Raw genomic sequence first — 19,986 nt, 5'->3', positions numbered from 1 at the left:
TTTTTTTTTTTGAGATGGAGTCTCACTCTGTCGCCCAGGTTGGCGCACAGTGGCGTGACCTCAGCTCACTGCAACCTCCGCCTCTCCGGAGCTCAAGCAATTCTCGTGCCTCCGTCTCCTGAGTAGCTGGGACTACAGGTGCCCGCCACCATGCCTGACTAATTTTTGTATTTTCAGCAGACACGGGGTTTCACCATGTTGGCCAGGCTGGTCTCGAACTCCTGACCTCAGGTGATCTGCCTGAGCTGGGATTACAGGCGGGAGCCACCACACCTGGCCGAACACTTTGCTTTTCTAGTGATTATTATATCATCTTTCTCTCTTGTAGCACTTCTGGTGGGAAAGGTGCAAAAAGGAATTAACAGTAGAGATGAGTCTCTGATTCCTAAGTCCTTCTCTACCAAGACTTCCAAGTTGGACAAAAGAGGTAGAGAAAGACTTAGGAATCAAAGACTCTTATGAGTATGGTATCTACTTTCAAAACAGTCATTTCATTTTATTCACATTTAGTATGGAAACTTTATTTTTCTCAATTCAAAATTGAGATTATAATCCAAAGGAAAGCTGAATTGAAAATTTTAACAGATTAATACCAGTGCCCCAAGTGGTGTTTACCATGCCTTCACAACAACCTCATGTTCTAGGGGCCATTAGAAAATGAAGTGGCTACTGACATGGAATGGAGCTAGGGAAATGTAACTTTTTACTTCATACACTCCTAAGCCATTTGAACTTTTTTACATCAATCATGCCATTTAGAATAAAAAATTCCACTTCCTACCAATCTAAGTACAAACTTGTCACCTTGACCTTCAAGGTATTTGACAAATATGGTCCTGGATTCCTTTTCAATTTTAATCCATTACTTTCTTCTGTGAACTGTTGCCTTATACTCTTAGCAAACTATCCCACAGAACTCTCTTATCCAATTTAACTGACATCACACCATTAGGCTATTCTCCAATGTGATGGGAACAACACTTCTGGTTCCCCCTCTGTGAAGTGTGCTTATCAATGGTGACAGTGTGTTTATTCACAAACCTATTTATGCCAGTTGTGCTTATTACTGAAAGTACGTAAATACTATGTAAAGCAATGAAGTATAAATGAGAAGAGAAAAATGACAGCAGCAATTAACACTGAGTACTTACTACCTGCCAGGCACTGTTCTAAATGCTTTACATGAATTAACTCCTATAATATTCACAAGAAACCTAGAAATGGATACTACCATTATGCCTGTTTTACAAAGGCAAAAACTGAGTAACTTGTCTATGGCCTATACAACTAATAAGTGGCAAAGCAATTTGGCTCCAGAGCTCAAGTACTTAACTACTGTACTACATAGACTCTCTAGTAGTTATTTCTAAAACACCACACTGAATGCTTTCGAAAGACCAGATAAAAGTGAGCACACAAGGCCGGGTGCGTTGGCCCACGCCTCTAATCCTAGCACTTTGGGAGGCCAAGGCGGGTGGATCACCTGAGGTCGGGAGTTCCAGACCAGCCTGACCAACATGGAGAAACCCCGTCTCTACTAAAAATACAAAATTAGCCGGGCATGGTGGCACATGCCTGTAATCCCAGCTACTCGGGAGGGTGAGGCTGGAGAATCGCTTGAACCCGGGAGGTGGAGGTTGTGGTGAGCCGAGATTGTGCCATTGCATTCAAGCCTGGGCAACAAGAGCGAAACTCTGTCTCAAAAAAAAAAAAAAAAGTGAGCATACAGATAACACATAAACTTGCTGTTAGGTGTGGGAGACAACAGAAAAGTCTGGAAGGACATTTCATAAACACCTAGAAAGATTCTGCAGTGAGACTGCTTTGCAAGTGACTTTAAGTATTCATTCCATGTTAAAAATACCATAGATAACGTAGGCCAGGGGCTAGCAAGCTCTTTCTATAAAGGGCCAAAAGTAAACATTTTAGATGTTGCAGGCCATGTGGTTTCTGTTGCAATCACAAATATTCAATTCTGCCTTGGAGGGTAAGAGGAGTCATAGACAATACATAAACAAATGAGAAAGGCTGTGTTCTAATAAAGCTTTACTTATAAAAACAGGCAACAGGGTCCTACACTCCAAGAAAAGGCTGAGGCCTTATGTTAAAAGAATGGCAAAAGAATGTTTATGTGTTCGTTAAAATGTTATGCATATAACTATTATCTGTATGATTCCCTGCTTTAACTTACTTCTTCAGTTAACCAACTAATGGCCCTAAGTCTGCTTTCAGTGACTGAGTGAACGGAATGTTATAGATCCCCTAGAACCTGCATTTAATTCATATTCCTATCATTATGCCTGATATAACTTGGTTATAACTTTAAACTACTAATTTTAAAATGCATGCATCATTACAGATTAGTATGGGTATACTCGTATATAAAGACTGTCATCTCTGTTGCAAAATTGCTGATAATTTGAAAATAATTATTAAAATTGCTGCTTCCCTGAGGGAGTAAGGGGAGTGGAGGGTGGAGAAAAAAAATTGCTGCTTCCTGGCCAATCTTCTGGGGGTTGACAATATATTTTATGAGTATTCTAAAAGTTGTATACTTAAGCAAAACAAATAAACAAAAATGCTTACTTTAAACTTGAGATCAAGGTTGTGCCTTACTTACCTTTGTATCCCCAGCAGTTACTCAGTAGAAGTCCAGGTCTAATCCACTCATTTTACAGTGCTTAGGGAGCCTGGCCCAAACTCAGAGTGAGTTATAAGGGCTGGGACAGGAATTCAGATTTCCTGATTCCTAGTCCAGTATTACCAATCTGAAGATACACGAATTTAGGAAGACAGTGGCTTTCTTTTTTTTTTTTTTTAGGTGCACCCAGTCCTGCAGTTCAAAGCCTGGCAAGACTCACCATCATCTTCCTCCTCCTCATACTGCTAATGAGAATCAGCAGCTGTGTTTCTACAGTGATAATCTGCGTATGCATGTTCGTGATGTTCCAATCACCAAAAAGGCTATTGATTTTAGGATTCCTGAGTACCTACAAAAGCTACTTAAACATCCAGGATAAAATCAGCTCCACCCAAGAATACAAGATAAGAGTTCAAATATTCCCTTGGCCATTTTTTTTTTTTAAAGAAAAGGCTGGAAGGACATGTCATAAACACCTAGAAAGATTCTGCAGTGAGACTGCTTTGCAAGTGACTTTAAGTATTCATTCCATGTTAAAAATACCATAGATAATGTAAGCCAGGGGCTAGCAAGCTCTTTCTGTTAAACATTTAGATGTTTCAGTGCTGCAATCACAGTGACCGGTGTTGGGGAGAGGGATTAGAAAGTGCCATGGTACTTAATCCAGTTACTCCCCCAACACCTCCAAGAGGTAGCCAAGTTCACACACTAAACAGAGCTACTGCAACAGTTCTAGTGCTAGTCCTTAGATTCTAGTTCCAGTTCCGGTTCTAGTGCTTAGATTCCAGTTGCATCATTCCAACTGTGAGCCTTCGCTGCTTTAACATCTTTGCCAGGAGGTGCAAAGTTCTCTGGGAGGGAGCTACCAATCATTTCATTTCAATTTCATACTGACAGATTGAAACATTCACGTAAGGGACACCTGTAGTACCAACCTGACTGTGAGGGGAAGCCCAAGAACTCCAGTGAGTCTGTGGACGCTACGCTGGGACACTATCTCCTTAGCCACACCTTGTCTAAGCCAGGACTACCCCAGGATTGTTTCGAGAATGATACCAGGTTAACCAAAGAAATACTTATGTAAGATACAGATAGGGTGGAAACTGGAGGCAGAGGAGTCCGCCACAATTGATGTTGATTTAGGGCTGTCGCAGGAAGACCCAGGGAAACCCACGCCAAAGTTGGGGTGGGGATGTGTCTGCCTCCAAAGTATCCTCCTTTCCATCACCCACCGCCAGAATATCTTAGCTCTTCTGCACCTCATCCGCGTAGAATACAGGTGGACTCTAGAAAGGGGACTTTCCTCGAGGTGTATGCTACAGTCTTTCAATAGTCACTCTGTAAGGGCACACAGTGCTTAAGGGCTGATAAGGTTCTTGTTCACCCACTAGCTCACTATGTCCTGAATCAAAGGACGAGGAATCCAGTCTCAGTCTGCCCTTTACTCTTTGTGACCTCGGACTAGTCACCCGGGTGCTTAGTTCCTTCGTCTCCCTATCTGTAAATTCTGAGATTACGAGGAGGCCGGGATTGAAATCCATGGCCTCTGAGCTCTAAAATCTTCTGGACCAGCAGGCACATGGAAGAACTGGACAAATGGCCGGTTGCATACACGGGGAAACTGAGGCACCGAGCACCCCGGCCCAAGGTCACTCTGGCTATGCCACTGCAGGGGCCGGGCCGAAGCCCCAGTCTTTAACCCTCCAGTCCCGAGCTCTTTCTCCTTCCGCGGAGCTGAGGAAAGCGGCGAGGAAGGTCCTTGTCCCGCTGGGAAAAGGACGGTACCCATGCACAGGGGTGCGAAAGAGGGGCCGAGAGAAGCCTTACCTTTCCAGGTCAAGTCCAGCCACTAGCACCTCTCTCTCCGAATCTTAACCCGTCACCCCCTCACGACTCTTCGAACGGCCCCTCCACTTCTACCCGGCTCGACGTGTCCACCACCGCCACCGAGGCCGAGGATTTCCCGCCCCCTCCCGCCCCCTAGCATTACCGACCAATCCCTGCAAGGGGCTGTGAAGCTCCGCCCCGCTGCGGGCTGGAGAGGCCTGACGTCACTCGGCGCTCGTGCCCGCGCGAGCCTCTCATTTGCCTTTGCCCCACCTTCTCCAGAGCCCAGTCTACTTTCGGTCCAGAGACCGTGCTGGAGTTCGCCCTGCCGGAAAGCAGCACGCCGCCGCGGCATTTTACGACGTCGGCGGTGACAGGCCCTGGGACTCTGGGAATACCCAGCTTCCTCCCCGCAACCCGGTGAAAGCCAACGCAATGTTCGGTGCGGGGGACGAGGACGACACCGATTTCCTCTCGCCGAGCGGCGGGTGAGTGACTGAGAAGTATGCGCTGGAGGGCGTGGCTGAGAGATACCGGCGGATTGTTGGAGGGGGGTCGATCTCTTCTCAGGCCTTTTCCCAACTTCCGGGGGGAGACCCTTGCCACATTCCGGTGCTCTACACCTCTCAGAATCTGGGCAGAACTTGCAACTGTGCTGACCCTGCCGATCTGAGGTTCGGGACCCGGCATCTCTCTTGGCGGGAAGATAGCCCTGGGTTTGCCTTTTGCATTCTGGGTCACAATTTCTCCGGTGAAATGGGAATGATTGCTGATGAGACTTCCTGCCTCAGAATTTTTATAGGAGTCAGCTGGGGCTGATGTGAGACTTCTTTTCTCCATGGAGAAGGCGAAGACACTTTAGAACCAGGCCTTGGTGGGTCAGCTCTAGCATTCTTCAAGGCCCAGCTCGGATGTCACGTTTTGGATGCTTTTCCTTCTGCAACCTCAGGCAGAATGAATTGCTTTCTCTTCCTTATTCCTGCAGCTAGGTGTGTTTGCCTCTATTCTTATACCCCGCACCTATTAGATTATGAGTCCTCACCGGACAGGGACTGCTTATGGTGTTCATTTCTGTCTAGCATGCAGCATGGTACCTAGCACATAGTGAGTGCTCAGGAAGTGGCTGTTGAATGAATAATAGCTGCGAAATTGCACTTTGTAAAGCTTAAAGCTTAAAACCAACGTAACAGACTTCTGTCATTCTCCAGTTTCCCCAAGCATTATATTAATATATACCAGCCTGGAATAGAAATCTTTAAAGAGAGGAAGGGTTTTGTCTCTTTTAGTAGTCAGTTTAGCCTTTTCCATTGTGTTGTGCCAGTGGACAGCTTGACTTCCTCCAAACTTGTGAGCTACCAAGCTCTGATCATTGCAGAGCTTTTCTTTGAACATATGCTTAACAAATTTTGTGCGTGCTGAAGAATGTACTGGAAAAATGACAAATGCACCACATATGCCCCTTATTCTGCTAAATGCTAAGAGGTTACAAAAATGATTAAACTGCTGTGCCTGCCCTTAAGTTGCTTCCAGATCTGTTGGGCCATGTGGTTTCTATTGCAACCACAAATACTCAGTTCTGCCTTGTAGGGTGAGAGTAGTCATAGACAATACATAAACAAATGAGTTAATAGATGAATGACCATAAAATGACACTGGCCTTCTTTTGTCCTTAAGTAGGAATTTTTGATTTACACTGACTAGCTCTATATTACCTACCTTTTAGTCTTTTTCACTCTCACCACTCTGTTCCCTTCCTACCCCGTCTTTAGATGGCCTGCATTCACTTAGTTCCACTTTGAGTTCTTTCCGTTTCTCAGTTATTTTACAGTTAAGCTGTGCTTTTGTTCCTTTTTTCCCTATTCCACTTTAAATTCGCATTCTTCACTATGTGAAAGTATTTGGGAGAAGTCTGTAATGTTAGGGCTCCCAATTTTCATGCAACAATCAGTCCAAGCTGACTGAAAATTATGGGATAGGTAATGACAGCCATGTGCTCTTTTCCAGATTCCTGGCCAGAGATAAATTCTTGGTGGCTCAACTATTCTTTTTTCCTGAGCAGGCTTCTCAAGGATCTGAGACACTTGAATTCTAGGCATGTGACTGTGCTCCTAGACATAGACAACAGCTAATTTGATGGTAAAAGACATACTGAGGAAAGTTATAGTTTATTTTTGTTCCCCACAGTTATCAGGAAAACCAAATCAAATTTAACACTGAGAATACAGAAAGTTTCACCACAATTCTCTGATTTAGCTATTCCTTTTTTGGTTTTCTCTAAGGAAGTAGAACATATGACAGTGAATACTGCAGCTACTTTTCACTTCCTCTTTTATAGCCATATATTACTGTAAGTATACTTGCTTAAGTTCCAAGTCTCTTGATTTAAACACATGATTTGCTTGATTTCATGAAGGATATTCAAGCCTAATAGAAGTAGGAGTATCTGATAATCTGCCTTCTGAGTTTCTAGGCCTCTTAGAGTTTACTATTAATCTAGAAGTAGTAATCAGGAGCCTTGTTTTTGTTTGTTAGTTTGTTTTAGCCCATTCCTCACCGTTGTGGGAAGTAATAGTAATGAACTAATAGTACTTGGCTTCAGCTAATCCAGATAGGAATAAGGCACAGTTTCTGCCCCTAAGAAACTTTTATTTTAGTAGTAGAATAAAATCAATCCAGGAATAATAATCACAAAGCATTTTTAAGGGGCCAATTATGTATATATTTGTTTTAGATTATAAAGGTATGTGTAGGCAGATCCGATTAGCATAGTAATGATAAATCACCAGTCTAAAGATGGTAGAAAGATAAATTAACCGATCATCAGAAAGCATTTTGAGTTCTGTAAAAGATAGGAAAAAGCCTAGATTCAAATGTTGATTCTATCCCCAGTTAGGAATGTGACTTTGGACAGATTATCTTCCATCCTTGTCCCTCCATACCCCAACCTATTCAATAATGAGGTTTGACCTAGATAAACTTTGAGACCTTTGCCAGTTCTGTAGTTTTAATGTTAATGCTAATACCAGTTTATGGTTGCAGGTCAACTTCCGTGTCAATCAAGCATGCTTTCACCCTTGCAGGGGTATCTGAGTTGAACCACATTTTGAGATAATAGGATGTGTTCACAAGTATATAAATACGTACTCTGTGCTTACTTAATGCCATACACTGTTCTAAGAAATACATAGACATTATTGTATTTATTCCTCCCTTCTACTCTATGAAATAATTTTACCTACTATGCCCATTTTACAAATGAGAAATGTATATATATATATATATATATATATATATATATATAATTGTATTTACTCCTCTCTATGAGGTACTATTAATTATTATATCCGTTTTACAAATGGGAAAGGCTCAGAGAGGTAAATTGCCCAAGATCATGCAGCTAGAAAGTAATAGAGCCTGGATCTGAAATCAGGTAGGCAGATTCTACCAGACCTGCCTATGTGCTATTGTTGTTATTATTGAAATGGATGTTTGATGTCAGTTTGTTTAAAAAAGTATTAATACTTTACCAACAAAAAGAATCTCTGTTTATTAAAATACATTGATACAGTATAAATGCATGTGTTTTTGTTTTTGATGAGAAAGAAAATATAAAACTGAGGTGAGGTGAGGTCCTTGGCGACTAAATGCATTGTCTAACATTTTTTTTTAATGTAGTTAATTCTGTCATGACTTTTCCTATGAATTATAAATATAGATTCAAGTCCAGAGTTAGCAAGCTCATTCTTGCCAACATAGGGAGATTGTGTACATTTGAGAGTTCCTTAGTAGTGGAAAAATCTAAAAATTTATTTATTTTTGTTTATTTATTTATTTTTTTGAGACAGGGTTTTTCTCTGTTGCCCAGGCTGGAGTGCACTGGTGCAGTCATGGCTCACTGCAGCTTCGAACTCCTGGGCTCAAGCAATCCACTTGCCTCAGTCTCCCAAGTAGCTGGGATTACAGGCGCATGCCACCACGCCTGGCTAATTTTTAATTTTTTGTAAAGATGGGTTCTTGCTATATTGCTCAGGCTAGTCTTGAACTCCTGGCCTCAAGCAGTCCTCCTGTCTCAGCCTCTGAGAGTGAGCCACCATGCCCTGCTAAAAATTTACAAGTAACTTATCTCCCAAGTTGATGCAGAGTCCATTAAAGATATTAATAGAAAATGGGACTGTGCGTGGTGGTTCACGCTTGTAATCCCAGCACTTTGGGAGGCCAACGCAGGTGGATCATGAGGTCAGGAGTTCGAGACCAGCCTGGCCAACACAATGAAACCCCGTCTCTACAAACATACAAAAATTAACTGGGTGTGGTGGCAGGTGCCTATAATCCCAGCTACGTGGGAGGCTGAGGTAGGAGAATCGCTTGAATCTGGGAGGCAGAGGTTGCAGTGAGCCAAGGTCGTGCCACTGCACTCCAGCCTGGGTGACAAAGCAAGACTCCGTCTCATTAAAAAAAAAAAAAAAAAAAAAAAAAACTGGGCGTGGTGGCTCACACCTGTAATCCCAGCACTTTGGGAGGCTGAGGCAGGTGGATCACCTGAGGTCAGGAGTGCAAGACCAGCCTGGCCAATGTGGTGAAACCCCATCTCTACTAAAAATACAAAAATTAGCCAGGCCTGGTGGCGGGCACCTGTAATCTCGGGTGCTCAGGAGGCTGAGGCAGGAGAATCGCTTGAAGCCTGGAGGTGGAGGTTGCACAGCCGAGATCCTGCCATTGCACTCCAGCCTGGACGCCAAGAGCAAAATTCCGTCTCAAAAAAAAAAAAAAAAAAGAAAATGGAATTAATCTGAAAACTAATTAGGTTGACCTGGCTTTTGGATCGACTTTGTAGTCTTCAGTTGGCTGGTCTTTAGAACATCTATGGAAACACAGTTCACTTATGACACTCTTGTCTTTCCTTTTAAAAAGGCTATACCTGCAAAATTAAAACAGCAAGCCCAATACTCATGGTTTACTGAAGCTAACAAGGACATTCATTTCTTATCAGTAATCTGTGCATAAGCTATGTTATCTTAACTAGGTGCTAAGCTTTGTACATTTTTCACTGTGTTAAAGATAGTGAAACCCAACTCTTCCAGAATCTTATTCTTTAGGCAATTTGCCCGAATTTTCCTGCCTGAAAGGACAAATCTTGCTGTCTTCTAAATTCCATAAGCATTTGGTGATGTCTTTTTAGGCCAGCGCTGCTCTCACTCAAGCATTGCGTTTACAATCTCATTTAAACCTCTTAGTCCTTTACAGTAGGCATTTCTGGCCTATTTACAGGAAACTTAAACTTACATTAGACTACTTTGAGAAAAGAAGGTAATAGTTTCAAGTCATATAAAATTTATTTTGTAAAATGCTAGTGCATATTTCTCTATACATAAAACTTGTTTTAAAAAAACCTGAAAAGCCAAAATAACTTGTTGGGAAGTTTCAATGTTTACTTCACCTAAACTAAGGATGCCTTTGGAGAAGAAGTGCTCAGAGCCAGACTAGACTTTGAATTCATTTACTGAGCCTGTTACATACCAGACACTGGGCATACCCCCTTTTTTTTTTTTTCGGTTTGCTTTATTGTGCCTTGCAGATTTTTTTTTTTTTTTTTTTCACAAAATAAAGGTTGTGTCCAACCCCGTGTTGAGTGAGTCTATTGGCATCATTTTGCCAACAGCAAAATTCCTCCCTTCGTGTCTCCGTGTCACATTTTGGTAATTCTCTTAATATTCAAAAATATTCTCTTGGTCAGTTGCAATGGCTCACACCTATAATCCCAGCATTTTGGGAGGCTGAGGCGGGTGGATCACTTGAGGCCAGGAGTTTGCAACCAGCCTGGCCAACATAGCAAAACCCTGTTTCTACTAAAAAATACAGAAATTAGCAGGGCATGGTGATGCACGCCTGTAATCCTAGCAATTTGGGAGGCTGAGGCATGTGAATCGCTTGAACCCAGGAGGCGGAGGTTGTAGTGAGCCGAGATTGGGCCACTGCACTCCTGCCTGGGCGACAGAGTGAGACTGCATCTCAAAAAAAAAAAAAAAAAAAAAAATATATATATATATATATATACACACACACACACACACACGCACACATATATATTCACACATATGTATATATGTTTATATATACACACACATATATCCTCTGAATATTTCAAACTTTTTCAATGGTATTATATCTGTTATGGTGTGATCTTTGGTGTTACTGTAATTGTTGTTGCCACAAACCACGCTCACATAAAATAGTGAACTTAATTGATAAATGTTGTGTATGTTCTGACTGCTCCACTGACTGGCAGTTCTCTATTTTTTTTTTTTTTATCTCTTCTTGAGCCTACCTATACTCCATGACTCAGCAATATTGGCATTAGGCCAATTAATAACCCTACAACGACCTCAAGTGTTTAAGTGAAAGGAAGAGTTGCACATCTCTTGCTTTAAAAAAAGTAGAAATGATTAAGCTTTGTGAGGAAGGCGTGTAAACAAAGATAGGCCAAAAGCTAGGCCTCTTGTGCCAGTTAGCCATATTGTGAATGCAAAGGAAACATTCTTAAAGGAAATTAAAAGTGCTACTCCAGTGAACACACAAATGATGAGAAAGCAAAACAGCCTTATTGCTGACATGGAGAAAGTTTAAGGGAATCTGATAGAACATCAAACCAGTCACAAATTTCCTTAAACCAAAGCCTAATTCAGAGCAAGGCCCTAACTCTTTTCAATTCTGTGAAGGCTGAGCGAGGTGAGGATGCTGCAGAAGAAAAGCTGGAAGTGAGCAGAGGTTGGTTCATGAGGTTGAAGGAAAGAAGCCGTCTTCATAGCATGAAAGTGCTAGATGAAGGAGCAAGTGATTGCAAGCTGCAGCAAGTTACTAGAAGTTCTAGCAAAGAGAACTGGTGATGGTGGCTACACCAAACAACGGATTTTCAGTGTAGACAAAACAGCTTTCTATTGGAAGAAGATCTAGGACTTTCATGGCTAGAGAGGAGAAGTCAATGCTTGGCTTCAAAACTTCAAAGGACAGGCTTAACTCTTATTAGGGGATAATGCAGCTGGTGACTTAAAGTTGAAGCCGTTGCTCATGTACCATTCCAAAAATCCTAGGGCCCTTAGGCATTATGCTAAATTTACTCTGCCTGTGCTCTGCAAATGGAACAAAGCCTGGATGACAGCACATCTGTTTATAGCATAGTTTACTGAATATTTTAAATGCACTGTTGAGACCCACTGTTCAGAAAAAAAAAGCCTTCTTTCAAATTATTACTGCCCATTGACAGTGTACTTGGTCACTCACAAACTCTGATGGAGATGTATAAGATTAATGTTGTTTTCATGCCTGCTAACACAACATCCATTCTGCACCTCAGATCAGGTCTTACCATTTAAGAAATACATTTCATGGCTAAGCACAGTGGCTCACACCTGTAATCCCAGAACTTTGGGAGGCCAAGGTGGGTGGATCACTTGAGCCCAGGAGTTCAAGAGCAGCCTGGGCAACATGGTGAAACCCTGTCTCTACAAAAAATATAGAAATTAGCCAGGTTTCTTGGTGCATGCCTGTAGTCCCAGCTTCTTGAGAGGCTGAGGTGGGAGAATCCCTAGAGTGTGGTGGTGCATGCCTGTAGTCTCAGCTATTTGGGAGGCTGAGGTGGGAGGATTGGTTGAGCCCTGGAGGCAAAAGCTGCAGTGAGCCATGAACGCCCCACTGCACTCTAGCCTGGTGACAGATTGAGACCCTGTCTCTAAAAAAAAATTGTTTTAAAGAGTTAACACAGCAAGCCTGAGACTATTATTCCTAAAAAGCCCTGCTTACAAGGTTGGCTCTTGGCTGATATCTTAGTCTGTTTTCTGTTGCTTATAACAGAATACCTAAAGTGTGATAAAGAAAAGGAATTTATTTTTTACAGTTATGGAGGCTGAGAAGTTCAAGGTCAGAAGGGCTGCATGTGGTGAAGGTCTTCTTCTTGGTAGGAACTCTCTGCAGGGTCCTGAGATGGCATGGGGCATCACATGGCAAGCATACTAGCTCAGATCTTTCTTCCTCTTCTTATAACGCCACCAGTCTCATTCCCATGACATTTATGATAATCTAGTAATCCTTTTTTTTTTTTTGGTTCGGGGGAGACAGGGTCTTGCTCTGTCACCTAGGCTGTAATGCAGTGACATGATCATAGCTCACTGTAGTCTCAAACTCCTGGGCTCAGTTGAGCCTCCTGCCTCAGCCTCTCAAGCCGCTAGGACTCCAGGCGTTTACCACCAAGACTGGATAATTTTTTTTTTTTTTGGAGACGGAGTTTCGCTCTCGTTGCCTAGGCTGGAGTGCAGTGGCGTGATCTCAGCTCACTGCAACATCTGCCTCCTTGGTTCAGGCGATTCTCCTGCCTCAGCCTCCCGAGTAGCTGGGATTACAGGTGCGTGCCACCACGCCCGGCTAATTTTTGTACTTTTAGTAGAGATAGGGTTTCACCATGTTGGTCAGGCTGGTCTCGAACGCCTGACCTCAAGTGATCCTCCCATCTCAGCCTCCCAAAATGCTGGGATTACGGGTATGAGCCACTGTGCCCAGCCGACCTGTGCACTTTTTATTTTTGCTGATTTTTCTGTATATTTTTTTGTAATAGATCTTAGCCATGAGTACCACTATATGCTGAGACCATTGAGTCCTTCTCTAGAATCCTTGAACCTGGCAGTGGTCTTGGAGCACAAAAGGAAGAACAGGTTTTGCTGGGGCAGTGGGCATTGGAGGATATGAGTTCTGGTTTGGACATGTTACATTTGTATTGCCTGTGGGATATCTATGTTTTCTGGCACTCAAGAGCAAGTTCTGGGCTGGGAATGCAGATTTGAGCATCACCAGCATTTGGATAGCATTTGATACCAAGGTAAATGAGTACAGAGAGACAGTATGAAACCCTACCAAGGGAGAGAAAGTATGAAGCCCTGGAGACATGGACATTTAAAGATTGGGCAAATGAAGAAGAAGAGCCCAAGGGGTTAAAGAGAAGCCAGAGAAATGGGGCAAAACAAGCCAGGGATTGCATTAGTATTTATTGATATCTTATTTGGACCTGTTCCTTCCACAACCCCTGCAGAAGTCAAGAGAAGAATTTGAAGAAGAACAAGTTAATTGACAGTATAAAAAGGTGGTATGAGGTGAAATAAGGACTGGTAAACTGGGGTTAGTAGCAAAGAAGTTGTTGGTGATCGGATGGGCCTGGTGGCTCACACCTGTAATCCCAGCACTTTGGGAGGCCGAGGTGGGTGGATCACTTGAGGTCAGGAGTTCGAGACCAGCCTGGCCAGCATGGTGAAACCCCGTCTCTACTAAAAATACAAAAATTAGCCGGGTGTGGTGACACGCGCCTGTAGTCCCAGCTACTTGGGAGGCTGAGGCAGGAGAATCACTTGAACCTGGGAAGCGGAGGTTGCAGTGAGCCGGGATCACACCACTGCACTCCAGCCTGGGCAACAGAGTGAAACTCCATCTAAAAAAAAACAAAAACAAACAAAAAAATTTTTAGTGATTTTAGCAAGATCAGTTTCAGTGGAATGGTGGGGGATAAGATTTCTTGCAAGGGATGATGAAAGAATGGTTCTGTTAGATGAAAGGATGGCAGGGACCATGTTTGATGGGTAAGTTTGTATCATAGCTTCATTTCAATTGAATAAACTAGTAAAAAGCAGGAGGGGGAGTAGTCAGTAAGGGTGACTAGAAACTGTGATTTGCTAAAAGCAAGAATTTACAGTTTGAAGATACCATAGAGAGCACCTGAACTAGTCACTTCAGTTTATAGGTGGAAAAACTGAGGTCCAGAAAAAAGAAATGCCTTGACCAAGGTCCTGGGGATAAACAGGGTCAACTGATGATGTTCAAATCACATACACAATCTTGATTTCAAAGACACTTTGCTGTGTCCAATATTTTTATTTATTTTTTTTTTTAATTTTTAAATCAGCTTTCCTAGCTTGAAGTGTTTCTAGTATTGAATGGTGGGATGTAGTCAAGGAGGTATTTGTTCAAGGTTGGAGATGAGCAGCTTTTATAATAATTCCAGGTTTGGGATATATCAGTGAAATTTCATTTTTCATTTTCTACTAACAGTGCCAGATTGGCCTCACTTTTTGGACTGGATCAGGCAGCTGCTGGCCATGGAAATGAATTTTTCCAGTACACAGCCCCAAAACAGCCTAAGAAAGGCCAGGGAACGGCAGCAACAGGTAAGTTAAGAGTGTATTAGCCGAGCGAGGTGGCTAATGCCTGTAATCCCAGCACTTTGGGAGGCCGAGGCCGGTGGATCACCTGAGGTCAGGAGTTTGAGACCAGCCTGGCCAAGATGGCAAAACCCCATCTCTAAAAAAAATACAAAAATTAGCCAGGTGTGGTGGCGTGTGCCTGTAATCCCAGCTACTAGGGGGGCTGAGGCCGGAGGATCTCTTGAACCCAGGAGGCAGAGGTTGCAGTGAGCCACTGTACTCCAGCCTGGGCAACAGAGCGAGACTCTGTCTCAAAAAACAAAACAAAACTGAAACAAAATAAAAACAAGAGTGTATTAGGGTTCTCTAGAGGGACAGAGCTAATAGAATATACGTATGTGTGAAAGTGAGTTTATTGAGGAGAACTGACTCACACGATCACAAGGTAAAGCCCCATGATAGGCTGTCTGCAAGTTGAAGAACAAGGAAGCCAGTAGTGGATCAGTCCGAGTCTCAAAACCTCAAAAGTAGGGAAGCCGACAGTGCAGCCTTCAGTCTGTGGCTGCAGGCCTGAGAGCCTCTGGCCAACCGCTAGTGTAAGTCCAAGAGTCCAAAAGCCAAAGAACTTGGAGTCTGATGTTCGACGGCAGAAAGCATCCAGCGCAGGAGAAAGATGAAAGTCGGAAGACTCAGCAAGTCAGCCCCTTCCACCTTCTTCTGCCTGCCTTATACTAGCCACGCTGGCAGTTGATTAGATAGTGCCCAACAAGATTGAGGGTGGGTTTGCCTTTCCCAGTCCACTGACTCAGATGTTAATCTCCTTTGGCAACACCCTCACAGACACACCCAGGAACAATACTTTGTGTACTTCAATCCAATCAAGTTGACACTAAATATTAGCCATCACTTCGGGAGGCCGAGGTGAGCAGATCACGAGGTCAAGAGATCGAGACGATTCTGGCCAACATGGTGAAACCCTGTCTCTACTAAAAGTACAAAAATTAGCTGGGCATGGTGGCGCTTGCCTGTAGTCCCAGCTACTTGGGAGGCTGAGGCAGGAGAATTGCTTGAAGCCGGGAGGCGGAGGTTGCAGTGAGCCAAGATCACGCCACTGCACTCCAGCCTGGCAACAGAGCAAGACTCCGTCTCAAAAAAAAAAAAAAAAAAAGCCATCACAACTGGCACTAGGATTGTGCCTTAACAGGTTAGATGGAAGGGTTAGCAGCCTTCCAAAAGTGACATGCCAGGTTGTGTATCCTTGACCAGTCTGGCTAAGCTCACCCCCAGTGGTGAGTGCTTCTCTAAGATCTGGGATCCTGATTTCTAGCAGCTAGATAGCGTGCGCTTTGTTGGGAACTGATGGAGAGGTTCGAAAGCAAGGCCTTCTGCCCCATATGGACACCGCTCTCCCAAACTCTGTCCAAGGCACTCTAAGTAGGCACTGTCCAGTGTTTTGGTGAGAAGGAAGACCTACTTTTCACTTCTTTTATCTGGACAGGTTAGCTGTAGGCTCCATCCTGAGCCTCCACCCCTCTAGGGCCCCACTCTAAGTCACCTCATTAGCATTGTCAAAAGATACAGTTATAACACATGGAGTTTTAAGATCTTAATTGGCTTTTATTTGAGATTCTAGAATTGGGCAACACTTCATTCTATAAAATGGAATGTTGTGATGAGCTGAGCAGAGGAGGTTGGCTTTATAGGCAGAAAAGTGCTGAAGAAAGCAGAAACAGAACAAAAAACAATTGGTCATTTCAAAGTTACTTTTGTTGTGTAGGTTAAAGCAGAGAAGACTTCCTTCCTTATCATGCTGGCTAAAATTGGATTATACAAAAGATGTTCCTACCACTCTTATCACTCAGGAAATTACAAGGGATTTGGGAGCAGTGTGTCAGGAACCAAGGACAAAGACCAAACATATTTCATATTATACCACAGCCTATAGGCCCTTTACAGAAAATGTTTGCCGATCCCTGCTTTAAATATTACCTATTACTTTAGGCAGTTTTGCTGTAGGTGCTTCTCTTATTCTCCAACTCATAACCTGGCCAGATTTCTAGTAGGCTATGCTTTTATATTTCCTGTGGCACATCTCTTCATCAGCAGTGTGCTTCAGAGTTAAAGTGGTTGAGTTAATGGGAGAAAAAGAAACAACCTTAGTTCCCACCCAATGAAAACACTTGGTTTTTTATTTTTATTTTTTATTGTACTTAATTTTAGAAACAGAGTCTTGCTTTGCTGCCCAGGCTGGAATGTAGTGGCTATTCACAGGTGCCATCACAGTGCACTACGGCCTTGAACTCCTGGCCACTGCACCTGGCTAACTTGATTATTTAAATCAGAAGACAGCAACTATGAGTTTATTACACTTTTAGCAGGGAGCTATAGAAGCAAGATTGCCTATACAGTTTTCTTTAGGCATTTACAAATAAATAAAGTAGCAATACAGAAGTCCCTCTCTGTTCAAGGGAATTTTTTTTTTTTTTTTTTTTTTGAGATGGAGTCTCGCTCTGTCACCCAGGCTGGAGTGCGGTGGCATGATCTCAGCTCATTGCAATCTCTGCCTCCTGTGTTTCAAGTGATTCTCATGCCTCAGCCTCCCAAGTACCTGGGACTCCAGGTGCACCCACCATACCTGGCTAATTTTTGTATTTTTAGTAGAGATGGGGTTTCACCATGTTGGCCAGACTGGTCTCAAACTCCTGACCACAAGTGATCTGCCCACCTCTGTTTCCCAAAGTGCTGGGATTACCTGTGTGAGCCATCTCGTCCAGCCTGAGGAACAGTTGGACAGGATGTAACCAAACCTTAAATTTTTTATACTCCTTTACCCCATAATTCCATTTTAAGGAATTTATTATAAGAAGATAACTGGAAGTACACACAAAAATGTTGCATTTTAATTTATGTGTTTCTGTATTTTCTAAGTTTCCTACAATGCACTTGTACTCTATAATCAGAAAAAAAAGTGTTAATACAGAAAAAATCAAACGAGTTCTTTCAAAATATAAGTTCTTGCATGTCATGTCCGCATCAGTATTATCTCACTACTCTTCCATCACATTCATATAGTGAGTATAAATGTGATTTACTCTTAACATGGTATTTGAAAATGTTAGTGTTACTCTGTAGTCCCTTTTTTTTGTTGTTTTTTTGTTTTTTTTGAGACGGAGTCTCATTCCATCACCCAGGCTGGGGTGCAGTGGTGCGATCTCAGCTCACTGCAACCTCTGCCTCCCAGGCTCAAGCGATTCTTCCTCTTCAGCCTCATGAGTAGCTGGGACTACAGGTGCGCGCCACCACCCCCAGCTAATTTTTGTATTTTTAGTAGAGATAAGGTTTCACCATATTGGCCAGGCTGGTCTCGAACTCCTCGTGATCCACCTGCCTCGGCCTGCCAAAGTGCTGGGATTACAGGCACGAGCCACTGCGCCCAGCCTACTCTGTAGTACTTTGTGAAGTTAATTAATGGGTGTGATTTAAATATCTTACTGAATTTCCCACCCTAGAAGACAGGGAAGGGGAAATAACTTTATTTTCATATATTATAGCTGTCAAAATACTGGAAGGAGAAAATAAAATAGATGGACTATCACTTTTTAGACAGTACTCCTTGTCTAGCCAAAGACTTATTTGGGGTGTGTGGGTTGGGAGTTGGAGTCATGGGTTTCAGACCTAGGCACTATCATGGTATAATTGTGTGAGGCACTTGGGTGATTAGAACCTCAGTTTCTTCACCCCCAGACTAGATCATAGGGCTGCTTTGTGGATCAAATAAGGATAATCATAAAAGCATTACAACACTGACTGTAAATTATAAAGATCAATTTTGAAGCTAGTTCAGTGGTTAAAAATTAGTTTAAGGCCAGGTACAGTAGCTCACGCCTGTAATTCCAGCACTTTGGGAGGCTGAGGCAGGTGGATCACGAGGTCAGGAGTTCAAGACCAGCCTGTCCAACATGGTGAAACCCCATCTCTACTAAAAATACAAAAATTAGCCGGATGTGGTGGCACGCAACTGGAATCCCAGCTACTCATGAGGCTGAGGCAGGAGAATGGCTTGAACCCGGGAGGTGGAGGTTGCAGTGAACCGAGATCACGCCACTGCACTCCAGCCTGGGTGACAAAGTGAAACTCCGTCTTTAAAAAAAATTAGTTTAAAGCAAGAAGTGAATGACAACTTTGTTTTCTTGTTCATCTTCAGGAAATCAGGCAACACCAAAAACAGCACCAGCCACCATGAGCACTCCCACAATACTGGTCGCAACAGCAGTCCATGCATATCGATAGTAAGTCGCTGAGAAGGAACACCCTCTGAAGTTTGGTGGAAGGGCGTGCAGTTAAGCTACTTTTTCTCGAAAAACCTCTGTTTGTTGCAAAACGGTTATTTAGCCCTTCCACGGACAAAATATCAGTAGAACTTTTAACATCTGAATTGGAGATTTCTGTGGTAAAACTTGAAAAGCCATTATCTTGTCTACTGTCTTTAGGGAGTGCTTGTACCCTCAACAGCTGTCAAATGCTCAAAGAAAGCCTCTCCACTGAGATAGCATGAATGATAGATATTTATATTTAAAGAGTAAGGGAATAGTATATGAGCTTTAAATTATAAACTGCTGGGCCGGGTGCGGTGGCGCACTCCTGTAATCCCAGCACTTTGGGAGGCCGAGGCAGAAGAATTGCTTGAACCTGGGAGGCAGAGGTTGCAGTGAGCCAAGATCATGTCACTGCACTCCAGCCTGGTGACAGAGCGAGACTCTGTCTCAAAAAAAAAAAAAAAAAAAAAAATTTTAAACCGCTCACCTGTGTCCCTGCCTAGAGGCTGAATGACTGTTGTTCCCACTTCTGTATGACAGAAAAGAAAGCTGGTTCTGCAGAATTTAGGGAAGTATTAATACTTGTTGTTTCTCTTCCTTTTATAGCACAAATGGTCAATATGTAAAGCAGGGCAAATTTGGTGCTGCAGTTCTGGGGAACCACACAGCCAGAGAGGTGAGAGTGCTCCCACATCTCATGTATATTCAGATGTCCCAAATAATACCAATGAGCTGGCTTTTATCTGGCTTGCCCGATGTCTTGTTTATCAGAAGATAAGGATGATTATTTGTATTGAATGTTAATTTATAACATCAAGCATATAGTAAATGATCACATTTTGCTTACTATTGTGCGTTAAAACAAATCCAACCATTCAAAATTGTTAAATTTGACCTTTGTGATATGATCCTAGCTTAAGAATTTGGGCATTTTTTTGTTTGTTTGTTGTTCAATTGTGGGGTGCGTGTGTACACACACATACACAAATACACACATATATATACACATACATATGTATATATA

General features: G+C 42.8%; 2 protein-coding genes across 4 annotated transcripts in view, besides 3 other annotated features; one reads left to right on the top strand and one right to left on the bottom strand.

Moving 5' to 3' along the window:
- Positions 1 to 4,603, bottom strand: part of SLC31A1 (solute carrier family 31 member 1) — a 42,949-nt gene extending 38,346 nt beyond the window's left edge. Inside the window, exon 1 of the mRNA NM_001859.4 lies at positions 4,469 to 4,603. The gene's annotated coding sequence lies outside the window, so the exon portion shown is untranslated. The remainder of the gene's footprint in view (positions 1 to 4,468) is intronic.
- Positions 3,692 to 3,881: an enhancer, noted in NCBI's record as "active region_28835". NCBI's record gives its function as "activates an Ori minimal core promoter by ATAC-STARR-seq in GM12878 lymphoblastoid cells {active_cell/tissue: GM12878}" and the evidence as "EXISTENCE:reporter gene assay evidence [ECO:0000049][PMID:35858748]".
- Positions 4,722 to 4,831: an enhancer, noted in NCBI's record as "active region_28834". NCBI's record gives its function as "activates an Ori minimal core promoter by ATAC-STARR-seq in GM12878 lymphoblastoid cells {active_cell/tissue: GM12878}" and the evidence as "EXISTENCE:reporter gene assay evidence [ECO:0000049][PMID:35858748]".
- Positions 4,870 to 19,986, top strand: part of FKBP15 (FKBP prolyl isomerase family member 15) — a 60,272-nt gene continuing 45,155 nt past the window's right edge. For 2 of the 3 annotated variants that reach the window (NM_015258.2, XM_006717018.3), the window contains exons 1-4: positions 4,870 to 4,956; positions 14,555 to 14,670; positions 18,851 to 18,935; positions 19,569 to 19,638. In NM_015258.2, the coding sequence (NP_056073.1) occupies positions 4,904 to 4,956; positions 14,555 to 14,670; positions 18,851 to 18,935; positions 19,569 to 19,638 (324 nt within the window). In that variant the 5' untranslated portion in view covers positions 4,870 to 4,903. The remainder of the gene's footprint in view (positions 4,957 to 14,554; positions 14,671 to 18,850; positions 18,936 to 19,568; positions 19,639 to 19,986) is intronic. The other variant, XM_006717019.2, reaches the window with a different exon arrangement.
- Positions 4,942 to 5,071: an enhancer, noted in NCBI's record as "active region_28833". NCBI's record gives its function as "activates an Ori minimal core promoter by ATAC-STARR-seq in GM12878 lymphoblastoid cells {active_cell/tissue: GM12878}" and the evidence as "EXISTENCE:reporter gene assay evidence [ECO:0000049][PMID:35858748]".

Source organism: Homo sapiens, chromosome 9 (genome assembly GCF_000001405.40).
Source record: "Homo sapiens chromosome 9, GRCh38.p14 Primary Assembly".
Taxonomy (NCBI): Eukaryota; Metazoa; Chordata; class Mammalia; order Primates; family Hominidae; genus Homo; species Homo sapiens.
The sequence above is the reverse complement of the archived record's forward strand: the minus strand, read 5'-3'. Positions and strand labels throughout refer to the sequence as shown.